Genomic DNA, 22,991 nt, shown 5'->3' with positions numbered 1-22,991 from the left:
GATGCAGTGGCTCACACCAGTAATCCCAGCACTTTGGGAGGCCAAGGCGGGTGGATCACTTGAGCCCAGGAGTTGGAGACCAGCTGGGGAAACATGGTGAAACTCCATCTCCGCAAAATACACAAATATTAGCCGAGTGTGGTGGGGTGTGCCTGAGTCCCAGCTACTCGGGAGGCTGAGGTGGGAGGATTGCTTGAGCCCCAGAGGCAGAGGTTGCAGTGAGTCGAGATCACACCACCGCACCTCAGCCTGGGCAACAGAGCAAGACCCTGTCTCAAAAAAAAGGGAAAATATGATTATTTAAATTCATCTAGTCAACCCAAACTTTTTCTATATAATGAAACAGCATATTGAATTTTCCTCTCAAAAGTTTATTCATTTTTGTTATTCCCCCAAATAGCATTCCTTTAAGGACGATGGCATTTGCTTCCTTCTTCCCTGCTCTCTCAAATAGAGGTGGTTGAAAGTCCTTCCAGAATTCCCTTTCTTGTTTCTCCTACTACTTTAGGATCACCACAGATGATGAAGATGGAAAAGCTTCTCTAAAACATGGGCTCATTGTTGAAAATGATAGGTTTTACTCAAGGGGACTAATCAGTAATATGCCAGCCTCATATCAGGGACTGGGGACATTTTCTGTCATTGCAGACTCTCTGCATGATAAGTTTTTCAGTTCTCAATTCAAGGGAAGACCTTTGGTTGACTGCAGTGCGTATGCCTGACTGTGTTATATTTCAGCTGTTTCTCCTTTTCCTTCTGACCCCCTTTCCTTCCCAAAGACCATAATGTTCTTTCTTAGTTTAGGAAAAGAGTCACTTGAAAATTTGATCAAGGGCTCATACTTGAATTATTAACTCTTTCTTCTGATGCCCTAAATACTTACATTTCTTGATGTCCACACCTTTTCACAAATGCTTATCTTATTATTCCTTCTTACTTACTCTTCTGTGAATAAAGTCTGATGGATTTATTTTTTACCATTTTTAATGAATAAATGATTTCAACCATTACTTTTCCGTACTATTTTTATGAATAAATGATTTCAACCATTACTTTCCCTTACTTTTATATTTATTGTCAAAGACCACTAAATTATGTGGAACTGCAAAAAGGTTTTTGATATGATCTCTAGACTCTCATAGGATTTGAACTAAAATTCACAATCCAGGGTTTTAAAAAGAAGAGGAAAAACAGTAGTCTTAGTTTTTGACTCTTTTAAATAATACTCGTTTAGAATTAAGTTTAACATGGCAGAGTTAAATATCTAATGAAAAAGATCCACTGGAGTATGTGGTGAAAATTTTTCTGGAGATAGTAGGCTGAAAGAGGTTGGCATTTCACACACATCTTTGTTGATGGAGCTGGATTGACAAGGTGACAGTTTCTCCACAATTCCCAGAAAGACAAATCATTATTTTTATGGGGAGGGAAATAGGGTTGGGAAGGCACATTTCACAATGATACAATCCATTATTTAAAGATGTTAGTAACTGGCCTCTCCCCCATTTAATCAGAGGCATTGGGTCTTTCTTCAACGTTTCTGTATTTTTTTGAGGGGGGTGGGTAGGGGGATTAACCGTTTCCCAGCCAGATCTGCCAAAGGGTTATTGTTAACCAGTCAAAGGAAGCTGGCATCCCAACACACTGGCAAGGTCTTGCCCATGGCTCTTTTTCTCCGCCTGTTAACTTCATCACTCTCCAGGTGTGGTGTGAATGGAGAACATGTGGCCCAGCAGTTGCCAGAGGGCACGTTTTCTAAGCTCAAAGTCAGAGGCCATTGGGCTGAGACTGCCAAGCTTTGGAACATCAACGGGGATGTAGTTGGAAAGGAGTCTATACAGACGGTATGGCTAGTGCTTGCCAATCTCTGAATTGTTCTTAAGTGGACCCTTTAGGACGGACGCCCCGCTACCATTTCCATGCTTTGATAACAGCAGTAGTAAAGGCAGAGTGCAGATAGATCATCATGGTTTAGTCTATAATGTCATATCCAAAAAGAAACAGAAAAAAAAATACCACCAAGCTCTATTTCTGGCCTCAGGATTTGGGGAATTACCAAATGTTTGAGCTTCTACTAATTCAGGCAGCGAAACTAATAATCCAGCAAGTATCTGTGTTGTTTTGCAGAAGGCAAATGCGCTGGCTGGGAAATCCTATCAGACTGTACCATTCCCAAACCAGGCAACAGACAGCCTTTAAATGATCTTGGGAAGAAGGAGGGGCTGGCCAAGGTGTTGTAAGATTAAAAGAAAATAAAATAAAAAATAAAAAAGTTAAAAAATTTCTTTTTGTGTTAAAAAAAAAAGCATGTTAAAGCTAATTTTATTTAATGTTCTGAGAGGAAGCACAGAAAAACCAAAGGTGTTGGCCTTCCGGGGTAGGACTGTGGAAGTGATGGTCAAGCAGCTTTGTTTAAAGATGCTTACGAGAGGTATTTATTTCAATCGGGGCATAAACTTCCTTGAAAGTGTCTTTTACCCCTCGCTTCCGCTGCCGAACGTTCTCCTACCCAGATGGGTATCAGAAAGTGAGGTTCAGGTTTTGGCCTGCTGAGCCAGGGGAATACTTGGTCTAACCATTTACAACAACTAGATTTTTCCTATTCCAGTGTAGGAAACCTAATTACACCCTGGTAAATTCTCTTCTGTCTACCAAACACAGAAAAAAACAGTGACAGAAACTGAAAGGCCAGAAAAGAGAAAAGAGTCCCTAAGACCTAATGAATCCAAACTAAACACCTCTCCACAGAAATGTCAAACATTTCTCTTAGCACAAAACAAGGCTTAAAGAATTCCCTGCTTTTGTCTCTGGCCTAATTCCTTAAGCAGAGAGGGGGATTTTCCTCTGGGAGTGTTATTTCACAAAGAACGAAACAGCAAATAAACAAAAGACTCTCAAAGAGAGAGAGAGTATAAATAAAATTCATGACTCCTTAAAGAGTTTACACTGAAAGAATGTGGAGGATTATTTGCAATTAAAGCAGAGCCTCTAGAATACAGTTATTATATATATATATAGATTTATATATAAAGACTGAGAGTTCATTTCATTTTCTTCACAAGAAAACTGCACCTAGATACCCTTGTTTGTAAAAAATCGTGAAACTTCATTTTATTGAGATCTTTTTGTTGTAATTTTTGTCACGTATACATATATTTTGACTTTTTAATATTTAAAACTTCTTACATATGTAGCCTAGCAATTCCTAATTAATTTATATCTTTTTATAAGAAAGCTACAGGTGATGCATGTTGCAATTTGATTAAAAAATAAATCAGCCTAAAAGACAAAGTTCCAAGAAAAAGTGGTTGTTTTTTTTTTTGGCATGTGTGTGTTTAAAAGCGTTTTCCTACATTTAACAAACACCTTTAAAATGAGTGTTTTCAGTGTTGAAAATATTCTTTTGGTTGAACAAAAGAAAAGTTGTAATCTATTAAGAAGTTTGAGTTAACAGAAAAGGAGGAGAAAGGACAAATTTAGAACTGTCTAGTTTCCTGGAAAAATCATATCATAATACAATGGGTAGTTAATAACAGAAATGAGGTTAGAGAAGGGGGAAGGTGAATATGAAACAAATGCAAGATTTCAGTATTAACGTAATAGGCAGACAGAAATAAATGGTTATTAAGACAAAGCAGCAGAGGCTAAGGAAACTAGTTGATTGTAAATTATAGAGCAATTAGTCCTCTTTTCAAGTGTGTGTGTGTGTCTGTGTGTTTACCAGGCATTTGAATTCTACTTTGAGTGTGACTTAAAACAATGTGCATAATAACTTTAAAAGCCGTGGTACAAGGGCCATATAGGCAAGAGGAGTTTAAAGGTAGAATCCTAGTAAAAGCATGGTCTTCTAGAGGGCTTAAGTCATGGGCCTGGGAGATGGGGCCAGGATTTAGTGCTTGCAAAGTTTACAGCAGAGTTTAGATTGAGTCTTATCCTGACATGCCTGTCTCAGTGAAATATCTGAAACATTTGGCCCCATGAGATTAAAAGAACAGTGCTTATATTTAGCATCTGCTGCCCCCAACTCCAACTTTGCTACTAATAAAATTCAGCTCTATGGAAAAGAATTTGAATTCCAGCTGGGCAGTTTTCAAAATAAGATGAAAAGTTAAGCAGGCAATTGGTGTGTATTTAGGGCTCAAAACACCTTGCCCCCTAAGAAGACTTGAAGGAGTTAATCCCTTCTCAAGATAATCCACTAAAGAGCATCCTTCATTATGATGTTAAAAGCAAGGATCAGTGCCGAGGAGTCTAACAATAGGACAGGGGGCTTTTCAGTCCCAACCACATTCTTCCCAGGTTAGAAACAGAAACTGCTGTGATTTCAGCTGAAAAACAGAGTAGGACTTTTCTCTTATGTTAAATATTCAGATGGAAGGAAGGGGGGAGAAATCTACCACATTAACTAAATTCCTCATTGGAGAGTTTTTCTTGGCAACTATCTTTTTTATGTTTTAAGAAATGATTGCACTGTCATGATAGGAATCATTCTATAACCCAACAGTTACACAGTTCATAATCACTTTTGATTTCATAGAAAAGCGGATTTTTGATTAAATTGTGTTCAATGACCCCTCCCCCTGTAATATTCAATGAACATAAAAGTCACCATAAACTTTTACTAAAGCTGCACCCTAACATTGTAATTTGGTGAAAATTTATCCTTTAAGATATATTTTATATTTTTGGTCAGATATTTATTTCTCAAAGATTCTTAATCATCTTCTATAAATAACAAGACAAAGTATTTAGTGTTTGTAAACAAATGAATATTAAAAAAAACTTGATTTTAAAATCTAGTATTTACTATATTTTAGTACTTTTTAAGTATTGTATTTAAGTAAATACAATTTACTATTTGAAAAGGTCTAAATGTTGTTGTTTTCAAAATATTTTATAAGTAATTTTTTAAATTAAAAGGATGTCTGTAAACATCTTAACTATAAGTTCATCTCTTAGGTAAATCAGATGGAAAAGTTGGGCCGTTCCACGCTAAAGGAAATGTTTCTTTAAAAAATTTCCTTTTTATTCAAAGTATAAACACAGTTTTGAAAGACATGTTTGTTTTTAAGGAACTTTATTCTGACCAAATTGGATCAAGACAGGGAAAGATTTTTTTAAGAAGTGTTTTTCAAGGGAAATCAACTGCATGCATAAAAGTATGTCGTCATTGCCTCCCATGAGCTCTGCTGTGTGCCTGTGATGTTCCATGCAGCTGGCCTCTGAAGACCTGGGAGCTGAGGTTGCCGCCCTGAAGGAGCTGGAGGTGGACAAGCCCCTTTTGGGGAATTCAGCTGGGCATGTGTTGGGGTGACAGTAGATCACTGGAACGAGTGGGACTATTTAAAAGAGGAAGAGGCAAAGACTGCTGTGATTTGGATTTGGTGGGCTCAAAGAGTCATCTGAAAACCCTAGTAAGACAAAGAATTTGAAAGAGAGAAGTGTATCTATAATATATAAATAGAAGTCTTTGGGACATGGGTGAAGACTTCATATATGGATATATAGCTCACAGCTGGTAAGCCATCACGAAGCTGGTGATGTAGTAAAGGCAGAATTTTAAACAGAATTTTATGAATGTTTTATTTTCATGAGAAACGTCATGGAAGGGGAAAGATTTTGGGGGTAAGATTTGTTTCCTTTTATGTGTTATGTGGGAATAACTACACTTGAACTCCAAGCTAGTATGAAGATTCTTAGAGCGCCTGTCAAAGCCCGTTATCTCAATACACCCATAATAAAGAACAGAGGTCTGAAGTTTTCACAGACCCTTTGTGTCCTCATTATGTGACTTTAGGCAAGTCCCCTTGTCTTCCTAAGTCACAGTTTGTTGTCATCTGTCAAGTGAGAATGGTATCAACTCACAGAGTTGCTGAGAATATAAAATAATATGGTCCATAAATAACCCAGTGCTTGGCTCATGTAAGACCTCAATTAATTCTTGCTTTTGCCAAAACAACAATTAAAATATACATACTGCAAAATGTCAGGCATATAGCAAATGTGCATGAAAAATCAGATTCTCTTTCTTGTAAATATATGCTTCCTTTTTTTCTTTCCTTTTCTTTTTTTTTTTTTTTATTTTTTTGAGACAGAATCTCGCTGTGTCCCCCAGGCTGGAGTGCGTGGCGCCATCTCGGCTCACTGCAACCTCTGCCTCCTGGGTTCAAGTGATTCTCCTTTCTCAGCCTCCCAACTAGCTGGGATTACAGGTGTGAGCCACCATGCTCGGCTAATTTTTGTATTTTTATCAGAGACGGGATTTCACCATATTGGTCAGGCTGGTCTCAAACTCCTGACCTCAGGTGATCCACCCGTCTTGGCCTGGGATTACAGGTGTGAGCCATTGCACCCAGCCCGTGCTTTCTATTTTAAAGGAAAGTAATATGTGTAAGGTTAATTCAAGGCATACAAGTGTCACTAAAGATTTTGATCTTGGAATCAAAGCATTTCTCTTAGCCCATATACCTGCAGCTGAATTTTACTGAAAATATTTTGAAAATTAATTCATTAATTAATGCCAACTCGTCATCTCCCTATACTCTCCCTCTATCCTTATACTACTGGGGAGAGCAAGTCATTGGACAGTCAAGGCAAATAGCCATTTTCTCGAATTTTGGATCCTGAGAGCTGTGAGTGTTACAGTCAAGTGGCTCATATTTGATCTCCTTCCTCCGTCCTCAAGGTTTAGGCAGAATCTAGCCTCTTTACCTTTTTACTCTGGGATTCCTATTTTAAGTCATTTAACAGAGGACTATTGCTAACTCAGGGACAACACTTCCCTCTGACATGAATTTCATTTATTTATCGTACATTCATTGAGCAGCATTTATCATAAAACAAAACAGGATTTGCATACAATTTGCTTTTTATTGTTTGTCACCTCATTTTATCCTTTCAACTTTCATGTAAAATATTATTCCTGGTTTTATTTTAATAGAGGAAAAAAAAAACAGATTTCAAATGTGCCCGTGGACTTCGAGCTGGTGCGTTCAGTGGCAAAGCTGGAATTCAAATCTCAGGGCTCCTGCTCTGGGCTTCTTCTCCATGAAACTTGGAGGTAAGATGGAGGTCTTCTTCCACTTGGTTCTCCAAGCTCCTGACATCCTGGAAGTCTAAGGGGTTGCTGGTGGGCTTGGACTGTTTTTTTTTTTTTTTGAGACAGAGTCTCGTTCCGTCACCCAGGCTGGAGTGCAGTGGCGCTATCTCGGCTCACTGCAAGCTCCGCCTTCCAGGTTCACGCCATTCTCCTGCCTCAACCTCTGGAGTAGCTGGGACTACAGGCACCCGCCACCACGCCCGGCTAATTTTTTGTATTTTTAGTAGAGACGGGGTTTCACCGTGTCAGCCAGGATGGTCTCGATCTCCTGACCTCGTGATCCGCCCGCCTCGGCCTCCCAAAGTGCTGGGATTACAGGCGTGAGCCACAGCGCCGGGCGGGACTTGGACTCTTAGCTGTATTAGCTGCTTTATGAATGGGGAATTCTGGCTTCCACCACTGTTCTGAGGGACTCTGCAGTCAGGTCTGGAAATTATAGTTACTCCTTAACAGCCACTCCCCTGAGTGGGCTGAGGAATTGGGCTAAAGTCCTAAACATGGGGCTTGTGCACCTGCCATAGGACAAAATGTCCTGTAAGCGAATGACTTAGACTTCTGCCTTGAGGAGAGAGGGTAGGTGGGGTTGGGAGAGTACCTTGACATTGCTTCGGGAAGCTGTATTCCCTAACAAACAGGTCAAAGATTGAATCTGAATATTTTTCACCTTCCTAGAGTATCATGCATTGAATAAGTGTTCAATAACTACTAATTGAATTGAATTCATTTGACAAAATAAAAGAAAAAAGTATGGGTCAAGAAATTTTCTTAGGTTAAGAAGCAATCTTGAATTCACAGCTTAATCAATAATGATTTGCAGATTCATTATTCCCCAACTCTCAGTCGGTACTTCTGGCTGCTTAGTTATTTTTAAACCTTTACTAGGTACATAAATACTTCCCTCTTTAATGAGAACGAAGCTGGGAAGCCGGTGCTCTATCATTAAGTTCCATTTTATTCACAAATGTTTCAGTTTGTGGATTGCCCTTTAAAAAGTCATTAATTTATCACCATTTTTCTTATCCTCTTTAAAAATAAGGAAAAGAAAAAGGAAGACACTCTTACTGGTCAGAGGAGAGAACACAATTCCTTCAGTGGAACCAGTAATTCAAGCTACTGCATATGCCAATTAAAGACCAATCTGGGGAAAGGTGGATGCCCTGGGCTCCATCTGCCATTCAACCACTGATTACGGCCTTGTACGGATGGACTTTCAGCAGCAGGAACCCAAAATCATTGGTGAAATAGGAAAGCTATTGTACAGATATTAGAAAAATAAGACCTTCACAGTCATCAGAAAAGTTATCACTTAATGTCATGTGTCATCAGTCCTTTCTTGTGATTGATTATGTTTGTATACATGCACTTGAAATGTGTTTTTAAAAGAGTATTATAAGAGATATTTTTCCAGTAAGTACAATAAGCATTCAATAGTAGAACAAATAGAACATTGATATCTCATTATTAGTATTGCTCACATGTGTATTATGAGGCAGAATTAAAGCTGAAATGCAATAAGAGCCATATTTTATCATAATAGATATTTTTCATTTTCTGAAATAATATAATAAAATAATGTGGTTGGTTAAAGTATGTACACACAGGCTATCAATTAAGATGTTTTAAATTTAATTAAATATTAAATAATAAAAGCCACAAGGGGAAGTAAGGGAAGTAAGACAATTCTTTCTTTAACATACAACACATTTAAATGTTTTCTGATAATTATAGAAATATCAAAATCAGATCAATCTTCATACCTCAGAAAATTAAATGATTAAATACTGGAGACTATTAAAACAAATAAAACTGTTTATTCCACAACTTTGCACAGCTAAAAAAAAATCTTCTATCATGTCTAGAAACATGTTTCTGACATATGCACACCTCACCAGCATATCTCAGGTTATTATACACCTCCAACCACAGCCTCACGGTGGCAGGCAGTCAGTAAGATGGACCCCAGTGATCCCTGCCTCCTGGTATTCACAGTCTAGGGTAATCTCCTTCCCTTGAGTGTGAGCCTGTGGCTTACTTCTAACCAATAAGAGTACAGCAAAAGCAATGGGATGTCAATTCTGTGAGTATGTAAAATTGTAACTTCCATCTTGCAAGCCAACTCTCTTCTTTGCTGGCTTTCATGACGCAATATACCATGTTGGAGGGGCTCGCGTGGCGAAGAACTGAGAGGCCTGTAGGAACAAAGTCCAATAGCCAGGTAGGAAGGAGTCCCTCAGTCCCACAACCCAAGGAAACTGAATTCTGTCAACTAACACGCATGTAAGTGAGCTTGGAAGTGACTTCTTCCCCAAGTGAGTCTTCAGATGAGGTCCTAGCCAACTTTTTGATTGCAGCTTGTGACAGACCCTGAAGCAAAGGACTCAGCTAAGTTGTGTCCTAATTCCTCCACTGTGAGAAAATAAATGTGTGTTTTTTAAAATGCTAAATTTGTGGTAATTTCTTATTCAGTAATAGATAGCTAATACATGCGTGTACATACAAACACACGCACACACACTGTATTTGGCTTTCACACTGAGGAGAACACAGTTAGTAGGCCCTTTTCATGTGGCTTTTAAGGAGGCATAATTACTTTTCTTCGTCTGTGATCCACCTTTGTGTTCTTCAGGTTCTTTTCCAGGCCTTTGCCCCGAGTGTGTGGGGGACCAAAGGGACGTCATGCTATATGGATGGTATTGCAAATTCATATCCTTGGATCTGAAAGTAGTCCTAGAACATATCCTAAGGAGATCATCTATCAAGATTAGAGAATTTCCTTCATGATGTTGTTTATCGTGGCAAAACTAGGAACAACCTGAATACCAGTCCCTCCAAGAAGCTATTGAATAATATGGGTATCCCTGTTCAGGAAAAATGCAAACAAACCACTAAAAAGAGTAAAATAATCTTTATTGATATGAAAAGATGTTTAATGTTTACTATTACATTTTTAAAAGAAGTTAAAAATCTCATTAAAAACTAGTTTAAAATCCACTCTTATTCCATGCTTGTATTATAGATAATATATATGTAGTTTTTTTTAAGTAGAAAAATTTCTGGAAAAACACTTATTAAAATGCTATTTGTTTTCTATGAATAGAGTAAAACCAGATAAGTGAAAGAAAATACCCGTGTTTTCTATATTTTCTACGATGTTTATTCCTGAATAGATGTTTCAAGGCTTTCATTATGTTCATAGATTAATTGAAGTGAATGGAAACTGTTTCTTAGACAACCTAAAATATATCCCAATTCCAAAGTCCAGGTCTGTCTTCATTGCTTCGAGTGCAGTTGTATGAAATACTTCTCAGTGAGGCCAAATTTCTTAATAATGATTAATTCCAGTTTCATTTTTCACCCTCTTCATTCCATTTGAGAAGAGTAGTGGAAAGGAGTATGGTACCATACCCCACACTTTAGACCTATGGTCTTGTAGAACTTCTTAGGGATCTACTTTGATAAAAATTTAATTTGCTGGTTACATCAGATGATGTCACACAGTTAATGAGCATTCTCTCCTATGCTGTACCTTCTCTGTTCTACTAATATAGCTATGGTCAATTTTTCTATCATGGAGAAGAATCTGTGGATAACTCCTACTATTTTTCTGGAAGTAAAAATTTAACTGTTATGTCGTAGAAAATTCAAATATATATGATTCCTTTGTATAAACTATGTACACATATGATTAATCCATTGATTAACACCTGTTTTCAGTAATGTTAATGCCATCTTGATCATAACATTTAATTAAAAGGTGACAAATGTTAGTTAAGTAAGCTGGATACTGTACTCAATAAATATATATGCTTTTAGAAACATTAAAACACATGCTATCACCAAACCACATAAGTGGTGCCCTTTGAAAACTAAATTACCAACTGGTAGTCATTGCTTTTTTTCTAAGATCTATTGTTCAGAAAAGATCCAGAAAACACACACACACACACACACACACACACACATATACTTGTATGACTTTAAAAAAATCCCAATCTTCACTTTGTTTTCTAGAAGAGTCACATGTGACCAGTGCCAATTTAAGGTTTATTGTTAAGCCGTTCCTCATTTTTACTTGGCAGAAACAAAAAAATATGTTGCCAACACAGTAGTATGTTCACTCCTTTATAAAGTTGAAAGACTCGCATGTGACAGACATAATTAGAAATTTAATCATTAAGTATCTGCTAAAACAAGGCTCACTTGATGAACCTCATCTTTTTTCTATGATAGAGAATATTCCATTCAACTCATGATGTAGATGAAATGGCCTATGTTTCTTTACTTGATCATGCCGTCCTCCTACCCAGCAATGAATCTCACTTGCATCCAGCCCTTCAGATTTCTTTCTTAGTCCCATGGGACAGGGTTTGCATACCTGGGCACAAACAGTAGAGAATGTCCCATGTGCCTCCTAGAAGAACCACTTGTATGAGGCCACCAGTCACATTCTTGGCCGTGCACTGAATATTTTACCAAAGACAAACATTCAGAACACCGTGCCTTCAGATTGAAGGCTTTCCTCAACTGCTTCAGAAATAAGCAACAAGAATTTTATTAGTCAAAGACATGTCTACTGAAGAAATGCAACAGTGATTTTATTGCTGCCTAAGTGGGAAGCTTTACTGTTTATATATTTGTTTGTTTGTTAATCATTCCATGGTACTCAAATGGATGATATAAAAATGTTAAAGATACATTTGTTTTGAAAAGCTTAAATAATTTTGTGAAAACATTAAAAAAATAAGTTTTATTGGTTATGTCGACCATCTTGAGAAGCTTGGAGATAGCACAAAAGATTTGATTATTAATTATTAATACTAATCATTAGTAATTATATTTTTTAATCTTGAAGGTAAAACAAAACCCTGCCATTCATCATAAACAATTGCCTTTGATCTTTTGAGCATTTATACAGAATATGCATCATGGATCTTGAAGGTTGTCTTGTTCTAGATGAATATGTCATATAATGGCATTTTCGAAGAAGACCATAGAAACTTCTTTTTTTCAGAATCTCATTGCACAACACACTCAGTCTTTTCTTTTCATATATTGTCTGAAATGACCAGTTTCTTCCTTTCTCCAAAATTCACAATGCTTGTTAATCAACAACTTTTGAGGCATCTCATTTTATACCAATTATCTCTAAGTCTTAACAGTGTCTCTTTGGTACCCAGCATACGTATCATTTCAAGTTTCAGTTCTCAAGTCTGATAAAACTAATAAACCCACACTGCCAGAGGTGGCACATTAAGCTGGTAAAATGGTTTTCATCTTAATTGGATATGAGCACGGTTATCGCTAATAACCCCAGGATACTTCTAATTGGAGTCTCTCTCTCTCTCTCTTTTTTATTTTTGAAACACTAATCTCATTGACCAGCCTTAATTCCTCCATCCCCCATTCCTCCAACCTAAACCTTGAAATGCAATATAGAAATATTCCGATTTCAGAGGGTTATTGCAGTACTATTTCCTTATACTAAACCAAAAAAGGGTAAATGATTTTGTGAAAATAAATGCTTCCTTTTAAAGTTTTTAGAAAAAGAAAGTGTAGTAAGACTATGGTATTGAAATTGCAATAATGTCTCAAATGCAGTTAAGTTAGCTGCCAGCTTTACCTAAGGACACTAAATTCTCAACTTTGAGACATTTTTAAAAGGCAATAATCTTATTTGTTTAATTTTGTATTATAATTTTAGGGCAAGCTGTATATCAGAAGGAAACACTATTTAAAAATGATCACATGCATAATTACTAGATTTTTGTATTTGAGATCAAATACATTATTTGAATTTACAAATATTGGTGACTGTATATGAAAATTATAGAAACTTTGTTGTTGACATTACAGTTAAGACATGACAAGATGTGACAGGTTTCTTTCCATAGATAGCTGCAGTTTCCTTGCAGAGAAAGACACTCTGGCAAACACACAAGAAGATTAACACTTGAATCAGCCATTCCACAATATCGATTTTAAACTAAATTTCAACATGTAAAATCAACTCCAATTTTTCTTCATACTGTTTTTTTTAGAGTTGGTGGGCACAGACTTGACACCAAAAGAATAAGATAATAAGTAAAAGTTTTAGGAGGATTTAAACAAAAAGAAAGAACAGAAAAAATAATTTTCTGATTCCACAAACCAGGAATTTTTTCCCCAGTAAAAGGTAAAAACTGAAAACTGCACGTTTTAATTGTTAAGAAATGACATATGAGCCATTCACTGGCGGAAATGATTCATTTTTAATAGACATAATATATTTTTCTGGAACAATATGTATTTTATCAGCTGACTGCGGGCCTTTATAATTATTATTACTATTCCCATATAATTAAAAGCCTTTACGTAGATATCATTAAATAATTATGGATCTGCAAAAGAAATGCTTTACCCATTTCTACAATCCATAAAATGATGATTGAAAAAACTACTCATTAATTTATATTTACATTATGGCAATTAAACCAGCAGTACCTGGAGCACAGATGAAGGTAGATCAAAGGGCTTTTATAGACAGAGGGTTTTATATTATCAAAGCTGTAGTGACATCACATATGCCTTCTACGCTGACTTAGAAAATTCCGTATTGTTGTGACTCTGAAAGACAGCCAGACTATCAGTCATTTGTCTTTTTTTCGGTGTATGTATATAATATAGGATATATGTAAATGCATACGATATATATAAATACGAACAAAGTAAAACATACACATATGTGTGTATATATGACATACAGGATATATATAGAGAAAGGGATGTATGTATTATATAAAACATACATGTATATACTTGTACTCACACATATACATATATAATGATTGTAAAAATGATGATGATAGTGATGATGATGATGATTTTATAACTGGCAAGCATTTTAGTTCTTTTGGTCCATATTCTTGGTTTCTTCCTCTTTGAAAGACCAAAATTACATGATTTCCTCATGAGATTTTTGAAACAGAAAAGCATTTCCCAATCTCAACATAAGAGAGACCACTCTTCTCCCCTTTTCTTTTTTTTTTTTTTTTTTTTTTTTTTTTGAGATGGAGTCTCACTCCGTCACCCAGGCTGGAGTGCAATGGCGCGATTTTGGCTCACTGCAACCTCCGCCTCCTGGGTTCAAGTGATTCTCCTGCCTCAGCCTCCTGAGTAGCTGGGAATACAGGTGCCTGCCACCACGTTGAGCTAATTTTTGTATTTTTAGTAGAGACGGGGTTTCACTATGTTTGCCAGGCTGGTCTCAAATCCCTGACCTCTGGCTATCCGCCCCCTTCGGCCTCCCAAAGTGGTGGGATTATCGGCGTGAGCCACTGCGCCTGGCCTCTTCTCCCCTTTTCTTGAAGGAAGGAGAAAGGGAACAAACTCAACATCCCCATTTCTCCCTCTTGTAGCGTGGGCAGTGTCAGACTTGCTTCTTTCTGTTTTCAGGCAGTTGACACTCATCTAGCCCCGTGGTCAGAACAGACTGTAAGGCACACTGCTGGTCACTGTGGAGACACGGACCCTACCCTTAATAAATGCATAGTTTGGTGGTAGAAATGTAATCTATCCACACAGTTTTAAAAAGGTGATGAAACTATAAGGTGAAATATAGAGCTACATGGGTCATTAAAAGCAGTTATGTCTAAAACTTTGACCAAATATTGTTATCAGTAAGAAGAAAAGCCACACATGTAGTCTTGCTTTATGTATATGCATTTATGGGTTATACAAATGTTACATAATAAGACATTTCGTGCATAAAACAGACAAAATAATCATTGAAATAAGATGAAAAACAATATTAATAGCAGTTCTAATATTCCTTCTGCACATCCTGTGAGGTCCTTTGCCTCCTCTCAGAACCACGGATATAGAAAATACATGTCATGTCTTTTGGTGCTTGTTGTGGAGTGAGTCATTGTGTTCTGCTTCATAGATGTAACGGGCAAGGGGTATTCTATACTAAGGGAAGTAAGAGGGATACAGAAAGCATTTCCAAATGTCAAGTGGTAAATCCCTCTTACATCATAACTGCAAGTTTCTACCATTTCTTAAGCTGTAGCGGCTTTTATCTTCACATCTTTCCCAACTCCTATATAACAACAGTTTTACTCCCAAGATATTGAACTCTACGCTCCCGCTCCTCGACATTTCCCTTTTCCAAAACCCCGGTTCTTAGTCTTCTACCTCTGTTATTTCTTCTACTTGAAGAGTTGCTTTACAATGTCATCAAAAGTACTGTATTCAGCTTTCTTCCTAAATTTTGCATTCAAGGTCAGGATCAGTTAAATAATTTGCCTAAGGTCAAGCAGACTGTGATGAATGGGATAAGAGCTTATGTTTTCTCTGCCACTGGCACCATCTTCAGATTAGGGCCAGTATGATGGTCGTATGCAGATTATTCATTCAACAGGTGACTTATGGGTCACCTGTTATAGGACAGGTGTTGTCCTGGGCTGTGGGACACACTGATAAATACGATACACTAAGCTACTCTAAAAGGGAAAGCTCATATTCTAAAAGGGAGTGAGGTGAAATAAACAAACATACACAAATAAAAGAGCAAGGTAATCTTAGAGAGTGGTAAGAGTTTCAGCAATTAAAAATATATATTGTGTGTGCATGTGTGTGTGTGTGTGTGTTATTTAGGTGGCCAGGAATATCTCTCTGTGAATGTGGAATCTGAGCTGAAACCTGAGTTATATAAAAAAGCTGGTGTGAAAGTAAGGGAATAGAGAATTTCAGGTAGAAGTGAACAGCAGGTTTTAGAAGCCTAAGATACAAATAAACTTTCCATGTTTAGAGAACATAGAAACAACTGTGGTAGCTGGGTCATGGTGAGAAGAGCAGAGTAAGATGAGATTAGGTAAGCAGGGGCTAGATCATGTAGGACCAGGACAAAGAGTTTGGATTTCCTGGCAAATGCATTAGGAAGTTGAGGGAGATTTTAAAGCTGGGGAGTGACATGGTCTTATTTGTACGGTTTAAAGACCACTCTTGCTGTCATGTGGGGCATGGCTTCTGGAATAACAAAAATGGCAGCAGGGAGACTAGCTAGGACGCTATTTCAGGAGTCCAGGCAAGAGATAGCGGTTCTGTGGATGAAGGTTGTAGCAGTAGAGGCAGAGAGAAGTGGTGAAGGAGACAAAAGGACTTTTTGAAGGATTTAATGTTGGCAGTGTGGGAAAGAGGAGAATCAGACTCCTCTAGGTTTTTGGCTACAGTCATAAACTAAGTATACCTAGTACACCATCTTACACTAACGTGGGGGAGAGTGGAAGTTTGGGATTAGGAAATCATGAGATCTGATTTAGCCAGTTAAGTTCAAGGATATATATTTGGGATCTAGGTAAAGATGTCCAGTAGGCAGTTGGATACAGGAGTCTAGAGCTCAGTGGAAAGGCAAAGCCTGGAGATAAACTTTGGGAGTCAGAAGCAGATGAATGGTGGTTAGGGCCAAGGAACTGAATGACACCACCTAGGGTGAACATATAGTCAGAGAAGACTATATATTCTCTGACATATAGGGCCAGGGTTATTGCAACAATTACAGTTGAATCAGGGCAAGAGGATCCATCAGATCAAGAGGATCTCAGCTCAAAAGAGCTGAGAAGGAACATGCATGGCATGGCTGCATGCTGTCTAAAAGAAAGGACCCAGAGTCTCCCAAATTGTATTTGCAAAAACACAGAAAACATCTCATCAAGCACATATTATGGAATTGCAATAGGTTTAGAAACATAAAATAATTAAGACTTCCCAGCAGGGCCCGGTGGCTCACGCCTGTAATCCCAGCACTTTTGGGAGGCCAAGGCGGGTGGATCACAAGGTCAGGAGTTCAAGACCAGCCTGGCCAAGATGGTGAAACCCCGTCTTTATTAAAAATACAAAAAAAATTAGTCGGGCGTGTTGGTGGGCACCTGGAATCCCAGCTACTTGAGAGGCTGAGTCAGAGAATTACTTTGAACCCGGGAGGCAGAGGTTGCAGTGGGCGGAGATCGTGCCACTGCACTCCAGCCTGGGCAACAGAGCAAGACTCTGTCTCAAAAAAATAAAAATAAAAATAAAAATAAATAAATAATAATTAAGACTTCCCATCTACTGAGAAAGCAAGATAGAAACTATAAAGTTTACAGTGCAATTTAGTATCATAATTTCCCTTTCTCTGCTGAACCTATAATACCGTATCCTGTTTCCTGATGTCTCAGCAGACAACTCAGACTGAGGGACTGATTTCTGGGTCCTGCAGTTGCTGTCCCGCTAGGTTTCACCATGGTGTGATACTGCATTCAGCTAAAGACAGTGGGATGAGTAACTTGAAAGCTTGTAGGAGTCAATGCCCACAACCAATGTGTCTTAGGTTGGGAAAGGAAGAAGTTGCAGCTGATCAAGCCCCCGGGTGGTGGGAAGGTGATAGTGCTTGGAGTGGGGGTGTCAGGGACACAGATGCTCAGGAGGAGGTAAAACTCAAGGGGAGCCCAACTTGAGTTTCCTTTCTAGTTTCCTGGAAAGAACTTGCTACTCCTTTCCACTTCCTTGCCATTCGCCATGTCACCTGCACCCAGCTCTCAACTGCGACTCTCTTTCTCAGAGCCTCCAGTGGGGTTTCTGTAAGGAATTTACCACTGTCTGAGAGAAAACTAAGAAAATTAACTTCACGTTTGGTCTTCAATCAGACAGCCCATTACTGAATCTTCTTTGTTTAAGGAACAAATAATCTTTGAGGACCTGCAAAGGAATCACCCCTTCCTGGTTTTGTGTTTTTAATGCCTGACTTCTCTACATTTAATAAATACTGAATATATTTATATGTATAGAAACAAACATATACATGTACATTTAACTTACAAGTTATACATATTTTACTGCTTCACTTCGGGAGTTTTAGAAAATAGCTATATGTGGAGATAGTTTTAATAGTTATGTGTTTAGTTTTCTTTCAGATTTTTTTTTTTCAGAGATAAGGTCTTGTTCTGTCACCTAGGCTAGAGTGCAGTGGTGCAATCATGGCTCACTGCAGCCTCAAACTCTTGGACTCAAGCGCTCCTCCCACCTCAGCCTCCTGAATAGCTAGGACTCCAGGCATACACCATTTTACCTGGCAAATTTTTAAATTTTTTTATAGAGGTGGGGGTCTCGCTATGTTGCCCAGGCTGGTCTTAAACTCCTGGCCTCAAACCATCCTCTTGCCTTAGCCTCCTAAAGTGCTGGGATTATAGGTGAGATGCATTTTTTATCTTCTTGCCTGTATCTAAAAAGTATTTGAGTTGGCTGAATATGTATAAGCAGGGTGATAGACCCTTCATTGCATGGCTTTCATGCTGAGATAATAGCTTTTGGTCGCTGTGTGGCTTCTTGGTGGGTTGGATACATTTTTAGCCTTAATCATTCAGTTTGGCCATTCCTACTGCCAGGCCCTTGCACCTAATTGCACTCTTTCACTGTGGCCATGCCTTCCATGGCTCCCCTTGCACCACGCCCTCTACTGTTTGGGCATCTTGTTTAGCATTTCCATTCCACCCAGGCCTGGGCTAAGCTCTTGAAAGCTCTGGCAGTAAACACAGCTGCTGGACTCACCTCTAGCACACATTCTAAGACAATGTCAATGGCTCCCATGTAACTTCCATCCTCCATATTTTTCTTTCATGAAACCTCAGGAAATGATTTCCAAATACAGTCATTAATTTCTCCTCTAAAAGTTCACGTATGTTCTATTTTCCTAGACTGAAAAATTGTTTGGCTAAACACACTCATACCATATGTAGTGTATGCCATGTGAGCGATGTAAATTCTCAAGTGAATCTTTAAAGGACTCTGGTTGGGCAAATAAATAAATGATAATAGCTGCCATTTATTGCACACCTACTATGTGCTAGGTGCATTTACATACAGGATGATATCTAGAATTTCATTTAATCCTCACAAAAGCAACCAGTGTACCTACCTTGATGAGGTAAAACTGAGTGTTTGTATATCGGAAAGAGTAGCCATGCCGCTGTCTGATGTTTGCATTGGGAAATCGGGGCCCTGACTTCGTAGAATATCTGTAATTTTTAAATAAAGTATAGGTGTATATCTACATATAATATATGTACTTATTTTATGTACAAATGATTCCTGAAATAGGGTTCAACTTTTGAATTTTCAACTTTCCGATGATGTGAATGTGATATGCGTTCAGTAGACACTGCACTTTGAATTTTGAATTTTGATCTTTTCCTGGGCTAGTGAAATGTAGTGTGATGCTCTCTTGTGATGCTGGGCAGTGGCCATGAGCACAGCTCCCCGGTGAGCCACACAGGAGGGTGAACAACCCATACTGTACTCTACAGTGTACTGTATTCAGTAAATTATGAGAGATCTTCAACACTGTATTATAAAATGAACAGTTGGGTTTTGCCCAACTGTAGGCTAACGTAAGTGTTCTGAGCATGTTTAATGTAGATTAAGCTAAGCCATGATGTTTGGTGGGTTTAGTGTGTTATGCATTTTTAATTTACAATATTTTCAACTTACAGTGGGGTTATCAGAACATAATCCCATTGTAATCTAATGTGTATTTTTACACATAGTATTATGTTATACTATATTACATTATATTATGTTATACTGTATTATATTATAATTATACTATATGAACCATGGTGAGAGCCAGAAGAAAGACATTTGTGGACTGTTTGCATCCTCTGGGCTCCGTAGGCAACCTCTAAAGTCTACAGTCAATTCGGGGTTGGTGAGAAGAGCCCAGAGTTTGGGGAGCTGTGATGTGACAGGGCATCTGGTCTTTGTTTCATTGTCTCATAACATCCTATGTTGAGATAGAAGCTAGTGGTCCACCGCCTGCTAAGAATGTTCCTCGGGGCTTCGTCTGTGGATCCTTAGGGTTGATTAGGGGTTCGGCTGATGCCGTTAAAGTCCAACAGGAGCTGGGTCCGCTGTCAGGGAAATGGGGGCCACACAATTCTCATCTTACTTCTATACCCCACTAGAACATCTGACCCAGCTCAAGAACTAATTATTTATGTAATATCTACAAGCTTCCTTAACTATACCTTTATTCCCATTAGGTAGAAATGCTTGATAAGAATGTAAATGGATATCCTTGAAAGGAATATTTTCATTTTGATCGAGATCAGTGTCTTTCAGTGGCTTTTAAAATGCATCCCCTGAGCCTCAGAATGCTGTGAGACAGAGAGCAAGTATGTATCCTCCTTCCACCCGCTGTCCCTCCACCAGCCTCCCTAGCTGTTTATTTTTGCCATCTACTGAGTCTCTGAAAAATACGCCTTTGGAAAAAGTGGTTCTTTGGCAATGAGAAAAGGTATCTGGAAAATTAAATTCTAACAGTCAAGTTTTAAGCATCAATTATTTTTATTGCAATTTCCTCAATAAAGTTGTTTTTTTTCTACTTATAAATAAAACCTAGAAAAATAAAAAAAAGATGGGAAGAGTCAGAGTAGCTATATATTTTTTTCCACACTTGGAGCTATATGATCCAAACTTCTCAGCTGGAATTCTGGGATGGTAAGCCACCCCCTAAACTACGAACACGATGCACATACTGTTTTCCTGGCAGGATGATTTCGTGCCCATCTGCTCGGGAGCACCATGCCAATGGAATGCGGGACTTGCTGGAGAGCCGGTGGCACTGGGAGTCAGCTTTAAGATCTCTCCTGTGCCAAGCAATCCCTGAGTCAGAGCACATGCTGATTACAAGAGATCACATTTGTTGATACTGTAGATAAAGAACCATCAGCAAACATCCAGATCATGTGCCCCATTTCCCAATTCGTCTTCCTTCTGGGAATCAGCACGCTGCTTCTGTAGAACTGGCCAATCTGGAATGCCTAGGACTTCCCTCTTTGTGTATATCCTTTATTGAAGAAGAACAACTGATTTCTTTTTCTTTCCCATTTACAATGGGAAACCATTTCCTCCAGCCCCATACTAAATCTCATTACTTGGCAATTAAGTTTCAGTATTTTATCAGGTTAGTGGGGAGTCAGGTGTCATAAAGCTAAAGAGAAGCAAGTGCCTGAATAATTCTTAGACCTTCTTTATTTTTCTTTCTCCTTTTTCTCCCCTTCCCTTATCTTTTATTTCTGTTGAGGTCCTTTTATGGAAATCTGAGAGTCAATGGCCTTAGTCAAACATATGCAGATATTTTTCTTGAAGGGTGTGGCTGCAGCCACACAGACCTAAGTTGGCGCATGCATGTGTGTGTGCGCGTGCAGGCACACACACAAACACACACAGACACACACATCCAACCCATGTAGCTATGTCAAATATGTGTGTGGGAGCACATGTTCTCTGCAGACATTCAGAGCATGTTGTATGCTCTGGTGCAAGTCTTCCTGACTTTTTATTTTTCAAATCAAGAGCCTCTTTAATTATCTGCCTCTGACTCCCCATGAATATCACTAATTGAAGAATACCCCCACTGCATGTATTAAGTACACCGTGTGGCTTAATTGATGGTAAATCTGGGGCTTCTTAGGCTTTTTGAAATGTGGGAGTTAGGCCGGGCGCGGTGGCTCATGCCTGTAATCCCAACACTTTGGAGGCCAAGGCGGGTGGATCACAAGATCAGGAGTTTGAGACCAGCCTGGCCAAGATGGTGAAACCCCGTCTCTACTAAAAATACAAAAATTAGCTGGGTGCGGTGGCGGGTGCCCGTAATCCCAGCTACTCGGGAGGCTGAGGCAGGAGAATTGGAGAATCGCTTGACTGTGGGAAGCAGAGGTTGCAGTGAGCCAAGATCGCGCCACTGCACTCTAGCCTGGGTGACAGAGCAAGACATCATCTCAGAAAAAAAAAAAAAAGAAATGTGGGAATTAATTGTAGGGCTTCCATGGCCCCCTTTGGGAATTCTTCCGAGCTCTGAAGATCTGGATCTGCTGGATGCTGTTATGAATGATGTGCTGGACGCAAAACCCAGGGAACCAAACTCTGGTGAAGCCACAGCAGGAAGCCTGTTCTCACAGCCTGTATTTCCTCACCTGTAAAGTGAAGACAGCCGCAACTGCAGTCCAGGGCTATTTCTGGACTCGTGGTTCTGTCTCTCCTGGATCTGAGTCCCAGGGGGCAGGTGGGCAGACATCTATCTGGTGGCCTTCTCCAGTTTCCTGTCCTCCCAGCGCTTCCTCTCTAACGTGGAGTGTGCAGTTCTTTCCCTGTCCTCCCCTTTCTATGTGTACAGACCAGAAGAGCCCTGCAAAATTTCCAAAGAGATTCCACAGGTATGTAGGAGGAAATCCACAGCCAGAAATAAGTAAGATCTGCTTGGGAAAAATAAATCCATTTTATCTGGACTTGAGTAGGCCCAATAAGCTCTGCCCACATGGAGAAGCCACAAGAAGCATTCATGACCGGCAACTCCCATTTCTGCCTAGTAGAGCTCTTAATGATTAGATGGCTTTTAAAATGGCTACATCAAAGACAAACAAATCAGGGTGTGAGTCGATGTTGTGGGTCCTGATACCTGTTATCACCACTTAAGTATTTCTTCAAACATGGTATTGAGTCCAAGAGTCTACGTGATTATTATTAAACTAAAAGCATGTTACATTCCAAAGATATTTTGGAAACAATAGATTTTGAAATTCACTGGTGGCTTCCATCATTTCAACAAACTTGTATTTAGGGAGCAGGTGTTGTCTGCAAGCCTAAACTACAAAACTGGTGTTTAGTGGTGAGACCGATAATTCTCCCACTTGTTTACAAGATTGCACTGAGGGGAAAGATTTCACCTGAGCATGTCTTATGCCAGAAGCCAGGGAAATGCACAAACTTGAAAGATTTTGTGACATGCATACAATACGCCTAATGTATTATGTCTTTTTTTTTTTGTCTGGGGTAGAAATAAACAGCTACTGAATGACTACGTATATGGACAAAATTGTAA

General features: G+C 38.8%; 2 long non-coding RNA genes across 2 annotated transcripts in view, besides 1 other annotated feature; one reads left to right on the top strand and one right to left on the bottom strand.

Moving 5' to 3' along the window:
- Positions 1-9,536, top strand: part of LOC105369212 (uncharacterized) — a 45,790-nt gene extending 36,254 nt beyond the window's left edge. Inside the window, exons 7-8 of the long non-coding RNA NR_158193.1 lie at positions 6,941-7,060; positions 8,136-9,536. This is a non-coding gene — a long non-coding RNA (uncharacterized LOC105369212). The remainder of the gene's footprint in view (positions 1-6,940; positions 7,061-8,135) is intronic.
- LOC112268156 (uncharacterized) overlaps positions 1-22,991 on the bottom strand; it is a 236,909-nt gene that overhangs the window by 135,756 nt on the left and 78,162 nt on the right. The window lies entirely within an intron of this gene.
- Positions 4,074-4,595: an enhancer, noted in NCBI's record as "OCT4-NANOG hESC enhancer chr15:96630222-96630743 (GRCh37/hg19 assembly coordinates)". NCBI's record gives its function as "activates a minimal SCP1, AML or CMV promoter by ChIP-STARR-seq in naive and primed H9 embryonic stem cells {active_cell/tissue: H9 hESC(naive and primed)}" and the evidence as "EXISTENCE:reporter gene assay evidence [ECO:0000049][PMID:30033119]".

The sequence above is a fragment of the Homo sapiens genome, chromosome 15 (genome assembly GCF_000001405.40).
Source record: "Homo sapiens chromosome 15, GRCh38.p14 Primary Assembly".
Taxonomy (NCBI): domain Eukaryota; kingdom Metazoa; phylum Chordata; class Mammalia; order Primates; family Hominidae; genus Homo; species Homo sapiens.
The sequence above is the reverse complement of the archived record's forward strand: the minus strand, read 5'-3'. Positions and strand labels throughout refer to the sequence as shown.